General features: G+C 38.8%; 1 annotated feature.

Annotated features, from left to right (window-relative positions):
- Positions 6,272–6,839: an enhancer, noted in NCBI's record as "NANOG hESC enhancer chrX:108268814-108269381 (GRCh37/hg19 assembly coordinates)". NCBI's record gives its function as "activates a minimal SCP1, AML or CMV promoter by ChIP-STARR-seq in primed H9 embryonic stem cells {active_cell/tissue: H9 hESC(primed)}" and the evidence as "EXISTENCE:reporter gene assay evidence [ECO:0000049][PMID:30033119]".

The raw sequence follows: 8,320 nt of genomic DNA on the forward strand, positions 1-8,320 counted from the left end.
CTAGAAATAAGGTTTCTTTTTATTATTATTATAATACTTTAAGTTCTAGTGTACATGTGCATAACGTGCAGGTTTGTTACATAGGTATACATGTGCCATGTTGGTTTGCTGCACCCATCAACTCATCATTTACATTAGGTATTTCTCTTATGCTATCCCTCCCCCAGCCCCCTAGCCCCCGACAGGCCCTGCTGTGTGATGTTCCCCGCCCTGTGTCCATGTGTTTTCATTGTTCAACTCCCACCTATGAGTGAGAACATGTGGTGTTTGGTTTTCTGTCCTTGTGATAGTTTGCTGAGAATGATGGTTTCCAGCTTCATCCATGTCCCTGCAAAGGACATGAACTCATTCATTAATATGCCTGCATAGTATTCCATGGTGTATATGTGCCACATTTTCTTAATCCAGTCTATCATTGATGGACATTTGGGTTGGTTCCAAGTCTGTGCTATTGTGAATAGTGCTGTAATAAACGTACATGTGCATGTGTCTTTATAGAAGCATGATTTATAATCCTTTGAGTATATACTCAGTAATGGGATTGCTGGGTCAAATGGTATTTCTAGTTCTAGATCCCTGAGGAATCGCCACACTACGTTCCACAATGGTTGAACTAATTTACACTCCCACCAACAGTGTAAAAGTGTTCCTATTTCTCCACATCCTCTCCAGTATCTGTTGTTTTGTGACTTTTTAATGATCACCATTCTAACTGACATTTTCTTTGTGGTTTTGATTTGCATTTCTCTGATGAGCAGTAATGATGAGCATTTTTTCTTATGTCTGTTGGCTGCATAAATGTCTTCTTTTGAGAAGGTCTGTTCATATCCTTTGCCCAATTTTTGATGGGGTTGTTTGTTTATTTCTTGTAAATTTGTTTAAGTTCTTTGTAGATTCTGTATACTAGCCCTTTGTCAGATGGGTAGATTGCAAAGATTTTCTCCCATTCTGTAGGTTACCTGTTCACTCTGATGACAGTTTCTTTTGCTGTGCAGAAGCTCTTTAGTTTAATTAGATCCCATTTGTCGATTGTAGCTTTTGTTGCCATTGCTTTTGGTGTTTTATTCATGAAGACTTTGCCCATGCCTAGGTCCTGAATGGTATTGCCTAGGTTTTCTTCTAGGGTTTTTATGGTGTTAGGTCTTATATTTAAGTCTTTAATCCATCTTGAGTTAATTTTTGTATAAGGTGTAAGGAAGGGATCCAGTTTCAGCTTTCTACATATGGCTAGCCAGTTTTCCCAGCACCATTTATTAAATAGGAAATCCTTTCCCCATTACTTGTTTTTGTCAGGTTTGTCAAAGATCAGATGGTTGTAGATGTGTGGTGTTATTTCTGAGGCCTCTGTTCTGTTCCATTGGTCAATCTCTGTTTTGGTACCAGTACCATGCTGTTTTGGTTACTGTAGCCTTATAGTATAGTTTGAGGTCAGGTAGCTTGATGCATACAGCTTTGTTCTTTTTGCCTAGGATTGTCTTGGCTATGTGGGCTCTTTTTTGGTTCCAAGGGAACTTTAAAGGAGTTTTTTCCAATTCTGTGAAAAAGGTCAGTGGCAGCTTGATGGGGATAACATTGAATGTATAAATTACCTTGGGCAGTATGGGCATTTTTGTGATATTGAGTCTTCCTATCCATGAGCATGGAATGTTCTTCCATTTGTTTGTGTCCTGTTTTATTTCATTGAGCAGTGGTTTGTAGTTCTCCTTGAAGAGGTCCTTGACATCCCTTTTAAGTTGGATTCCTAGGTATTTTATTCTCTTTGAAGCAATTGTGAATGGGAGTTCACTCATGATTTGGCTCTCTGTCCCTTATTGGTGTATAGGAATGCTTGTGATTTTTGCACATTGATTTTGTATGCTGAGAGTTTGCTGAAGTTGCTTATCAGCTTAAGGAGACTTTGGGCTGAGATGATGGGGTTTTCTAAATATACAATCATTTCAACTGAAAACAGAAACAACTTGACTTACTCTTTTCCTAATTGAATACCCGTTATTTCTTCCTCTTGCCTGATTGCCCTGGCCAGAACTTCCAACACTATGTTGAATAGGAGTGGTGAGAGAGGGCATCCTTGTCTTGTGCTGGTTTTCAAAGGGAATGCTTCCAGGTTTTGCCCATTCAGTATGATATTGGCTGTGGGTTTGTCATAAATAGCTCTTATTATTTTGATATATGCTCCATGAACACCTAGTTTATTGAGAATTTTTAGCATGAAGTGCTGTTGAATTTTTTTGAAGGCCTTTTCTGCATCTATTGATATAATCATGTGGTTTTTATCTTTGGTTCTGTTTATATGATGGATTATGTTTATTGGTTTGCATAGGTTGAACCAGTCTTGCATCCCAGGGATGAAACTGACTTGATCATGGTGGATAAGCTTTTTGATGTGCTGCTGGATTCGATTTGCCAGTATTTTATCGAGGACTTTCGCATCGATGTTCATCACGGATATTGGCCTAAAATTCTCTTTTTGTTGTGTCTCTACCAGGCTCTGGTATCAGGATGATGCTAGCCTCATAAAATGAATTAGGGAGGAGTCTCTCTTTTTCTATTTATTGAAATAGTTTCAGAAGGAATGGTACCAGCTCCTCTTTGTACCTCTGGTAGAATTTGGCTGTGAATTCCTCTGGTCCTGGACTTTTTTTGTTGGTAGGCTATCAATTTTTGCCTTAACTTCAGATCGTGTTATTGGTCTATTCTGAGATTCAACTTCTTCCTGGTTTAGTCTTGGGAGGGTGTATGTGTCCAGGAATTTATCCATTTCTTCTAGATTTTCTAGTTTATTTGCATAGAGGTGTTTATAGTATTCTCTGATGGTAGTTTGTATTTCTGTGGGATCGGTGGTGATATCCCCTTTATCATTTTTTATTGTGTTTATTTGATTCTTCTCTCTTTTCTTCTTTATTAGTCTTGCTAGTGGTCTATTTCGTTGATCTTCTCAAAAAACCAGGTCCTGGATTCACTGATCATTTTGAAAGTTTTTTCGTGTCTCTATCTCCTTGAGTTCTGCTCTGATCTTAGTTATTTCTTGCCTTCTGCTAGTTTTTGAATTTGTTTGCTCTTGCTTCTCTAGTTCTTTTAATTGTGATGTTAGGGTGTCGATTTTAGATATTTTCTGCTTTCTCTTGTGGGCATTTAGTGCTATACATTTCCCTCTACACATTGCTTTAAATGTGTCCCAGAGATTCTGGTACTTTCTGTCTTTCTTCTCATTGGTTTCAAGGAACGTCTTTATTTCTGCCTTTATTTCGTTATTTACCCAGTAGTCATTCAGGAGCACGTTGTTCAGTTTTCATGTACTTGTGCAGTTTTGAGTGAGTTTCCTCATCCCGAGTTCTAATTTGATTGCACTGTGGTCTGAGAGAGAGTTTGTTGTGATTTCTGTTCTTTTACATTTGCTGAGGAGTGTTTTACTACTAATCATGTGGTCAATTTTAGAATAAGTTCGATGTGGTGCTGAGAAGAATTTATATTCTGTTGATTTGGGGTGGAGAGTTCTGTAGATGTCTATTAGTTCTGCTTGGTCCACAGCTGAGTTCAAGTCCTGGATATTGTTGTTAATTTTCGGTCTCATTGATCTGTCTAATATTGACGTTGTGGTGTTAAAGTCTCCCATTATTATTGTGTGGGAGTCTAAGTATCTTTGTCGGTCTCTAAGAACTTGTTTTATGAATCTGGGTTCTCCTGAATTAGGTGCGTATATATTTAGGATAGTTAGCTCTTCTTGTTGAATTGATCCCTTTACCATTATGTAGAGGCCTTCTTTGTCTCTTTTGATCTTTGCTGGTTTAAAGTCTGTTTTATCAGAGACTAGGATTGCAACACCCCCTCCCTCTTTTTTTTGCTTTCCATTTCCTTGGTAAATATTCTGCCATCTCTTTATTTTGAGCCTATGTATGTCTTTGCATGTGAGATGGGTCTCCTGAATACAGAACACCTGTGGGTCTTGACTCTTTATCTTATTTGCCAGTCTGTGTCTTTTAATTGGGGGCATTTAGTCCATTTCCATTTAAGGTTAATATTGTTGTGTTTGAATTTGATCCTGTCATTTTGATTTTAGCTGGTTATTTTGCGCATTAGTTGATGCAGTTTCTTCATAGCATCGATGGTCGTTACCACTTGGCATGTTTTTGCAGTGGCTGGTACCAGTTGTTTGTTCCTTTCCATGTTTAGTGCTTCCGTCAGGAGCTCCGGTAATGCAGGCCTGGTGGTGGCAAAATCTCTCAGCATTTGCTTGTCTGTAAAGGATTTTATTTCTCCTTCACTTATAAAGCTTTGTTTGGCTGGATATGAGATTCTGGGATGAAAATTCTTCTCTTGAAAAATGTTGAATATCAGCCTCCACTCTCTTCTGGCTTGTAGGGTTTCTGCCAAGAGATCCGCTGTTAGTCTGATGGGCTTCCCTTTGTGGGTAACCCAACCTTTCTCTCTGGGTGCCCTTAACATTTTTCCTTCATTTCAACCTTGTTGAATCTGACAATTATGTGTCTTGAGGTTGCTCTTCTTGAGGAGTATCTTTGTGGTGTTCTCTGTATTTCCTGAATTTGAATGTTGGCCTCCCTTGCTAGGTTAGGGAAGTTCTCCTGGATAATATCCTGAGAAGTGTTTTCTAACTTGGTTCCATTCTCCCCATCACTTTCAGATACACAAATCAAATGGATATTTGGTCTTTTCCCATAGTCCCATATCTTTTGGAGGCTTTGTTCATTACTTTTCACTCTTTTTTCTCTACTCCTGTCTTCTCACTTTATTTCATTAATTTTATTTTCAATCACCGATATCCTTTCTTCCACTTGATCGAATCAGCTATTGAAGCTTGTGCATGCATCATGAAGTTCTCATGCCGTGGTTTTCAGCTCCATCAGGTCATTTAAGGTCTTCTCTACACTGTTTATTCTAGTTAGCCATTCATCTAACCTTTTTTCAAGGTTTTTAGCTTGCTTGCAATGGGTTAGAACATGCTCCTTTAGCTTGGAGAAGTTTGTTATTACCGACCTTCTGAAGCCTACTTCTGTCAACTCATCAAACTCGTTCTCTGTCCAGTTTTGTTCCCTTACTGGTGAGGAGCTGCAATCCTTTGGAGGAGAAGAGGTGCTCTGTTTTTTGGAATTTCCAGCTTTTCTGCTCTTGTTTCTCCCCATCTTTGTAGTTTTATCTACCTTTGGTCTTTGATGTTGATGGCCTACAGATGGGGTTTTGGTGTGGATGTCCTTTTTGTTGATGTTGATGCTATTCCTTTCTGTTTGTTACTTTTCCTTCTAAGAGTCAGACCTTTCAGCTGCAGGTCTGTTGGAGTTTGCTGGAGGTCCACTCCAGACCCTGTTTGCCGGGCTATCACTTGTGGAGGTTGCAGAACAGCAAATATTGCTGCCTGATCCTTCCTCTGTCAGCTTAATCCCAGAGGGGCACCTGCCTGTTTGAGATGTCTGTCAGCCCCTACTGGAGGTGTTTCCCAGTCAGGCCACATGGAGGTCAGGGACCCTCTTGAGCAGGCAGTCTGTCCATTCTCGGAGCTCATATGCCACACTAAGAGAACCAGTGCTCTCCTCAAAGCTGTGAGACAGGGACATTTAAGTCTGCAGAAGCTATTTGCTACCTTTTGTTCTACTATGCCCTGACCCTAGAGATGGAATCTATAGAGGCAGTAGGCCTTGCTGAGCTGCAATGGGCTCCATCCAATTCATGCTTCCTGGCCTCTTTGTTGACACTGTGAGCTACTCAAGCCTCAGCAATGGTGGGTGTTCCTCCCCCAGTCAAGCTGCAGAGTTGCAGGTCAATCTCAGACTGCTGCGCTAGCAGTGAGCAAGGCTTTGTGGGCATGGGACCCACTGAGCCAGGCACGGGAGGGTACGTTCTGGTCTGCCAGTTGCTAAGACTGTGGGAAAAGTGCAGTATTTGGTCAGGAGTGTACTGATTCTCTAGGTACAGTCCGTCACAGCTTCCCTTGGCTAGGAAAGGGTAATCCCCTGACCCCTTGCATTTCCCAGGTGAGGCGATGCCTTACCCTGCTTCGGCTCAACCTCCATGGGCTGCACCCACTGTCCAACCAGTCCCAATGAGATGAACCAGGTACCTCAGATGGAAATGCAGAAATCACCCATCTTCTGCATCAGTCTCGGTGGGAGCTGCAGACCAGAGCTGTTCCTATTTGGCCATCTTGACTTTCATTTCAAAATAAGGTTTCTTATGAGTAAAGGTTTTGTGCTAAGGCTTTATTAGGAAGTGATATCCCAAGGCAGCAAGAGCAAGAAATAAAAGGAAAGCAAAAGAGAGAAGAAGAGAGTAGGAAAGAAGAAAAGATTGTTTGCTAGCCTTTTTCAACATCTTATTTTTTATTGATATATGTTTGTCCTTGGTGGTATTAATCCCTTTGTTTCCTGTACAAAGGTTTCCAAGTTTTGTCATCTGGACTATCCAGCAGCTACTGGGGATGCCAGGTCCCATACCTCATTGTGTTACAATTTATCTGAATCTGAAACTGGTGGCAGAAGCCAGAGACTCCATAGATCCAGCTGGATGAGGCCTGGGAATTGAAGCCACTGCAGTTCCTGGCTCAGCAGGTGCAATGGAGATTGTGTCATGCAAACAGGTTCTCCAGTGAGCAAACAGTTAAATGCCCAGCAGGCAGCTAAAAGCAAGGTACATTTAATGAAATGCATAATTAAGGCCTTATACATATTCCATCATATGATAAGATTATATTTGTTTATACATCCTTCCACTGATGGACATTTATGTTGCTTCCATTTGTTTACCATTGCAGAATATGCTGAAAAATAAACATTTATGTAAAATGTAGAATAAGCAAATCACCAGAGACAGAAAGTGGATTAGTTTGTCTAGAGCTGGGGGTGTGTACTGGAAATTATAGAGCTTATGAATAAATCATGCAGTGTTTCTTTTTGGGGTGAAAAAATATTCTAAAATTGATTTTAACAATAGTTACACAACTCTGAGAATATACTAACAGCCATCATATTGTACATTTTAAGTGGGTGAATTATATGGTATGTGAATTATATCACATTTTAAAATGATTATTAATTATCATTCTTATTTGAATCTTCCTGATTATTAGTGACATTAAACATCTTTTTGTACATGTATGGAGAATCGTACTTCTTCTGTGAGTAGCTTGTTCTTGCTCTTGACCGTTTATCATAATAATTATTATTATTCTCTATTTGGAGGAGTTAAAAGAAATATACTCTCTGGGACAACTGGATACCCACATGCAAAAGAAAAAAGTTGTACCTTTATCTCATAACATATAGAAAAGAACTGAGAATATACTAAAGATCTAAATGGAAGAGCAAAAAATATACAATTCTTAGGAAAAAACATAGGGGTAAATCTTTAAATGATTGGCAATGGTTTTGTAGATATAACATCGAAAGTACAAACAACAAATAGAGAATCCAGAAATAAATCCATACATCTGTAGTGAACTCATTTTTTACAAAGGTGCCAAGAACATACATTGAGGAAAAGACAGTTTCTTCAACAAATGGTGCTGTGAACACTGGATATTCCTATGAAGAAGAATGAAGCTTGATTCTTATCTCTCATCATATAGAAAAACAAAGTCAAAATTGATTAAGACTTAAATCTAAGACATGAAACTACGAGAAGAAATCCTTGGGGGAACTGTCCAGGACATTAGTCTGGGCAAAGATTTATTGAGTAATGCCCTACAAGCATAGGCAACAAAAGAAAAAAAATGTACAAATGGCATCACATCACATTAAAAAGCTTCTGCACAACAAAAGAAAAAAATCAACAAAATGAAGAGACAATTTGAATATATAAGTTTTAGCTCCTTATATATTCTGATTATTAATCCCTTGTCAAATCAATAGTTTATGATCATTTTCTCCCAAATGGGAGAAAAAAATCTAATAATACAATTTAAAAATAGGCAAATATTTTTCAAAAGAAGATGTCCAAATGGCAAACAGGTATACAAAAAGTTGCTCAACATCATTGATCATCAGACAAATGCAAATCAAAACTACAATGAGATATCATCTCACCCCAGTTAAAATGGCTTATTTCCAAAAGACAGGCAATAACAAATGCTGGCAAAGATGTGGAGAAAGGGAAAACCTCATATACTATTGTGGGTACATAAATCAGTACAACCACTGGGGAGAACAGTATGAAGGTTTTTCAAAAAACTAAAATTAGAATGATCATATGATTCAGCAATACCACTGTTAGGTATATACCCAAAAGAAAGAAAATCAATGTATCAAAGACATGTGTATCCCCGTGTTTATTCCAGCACTATTCACAATAGCCAAGATTTGGAATCAGCCTAAGT

This window comes from Homo sapiens, chromosome X (assembly GCF_000001405.40).
Source record: "Homo sapiens chromosome X, GRCh38.p14 Primary Assembly".
In the NCBI taxonomy this organism is placed as follows: domain Eukaryota; kingdom Metazoa; phylum Chordata; class Mammalia; order Primates; family Hominidae; genus Homo; species Homo sapiens.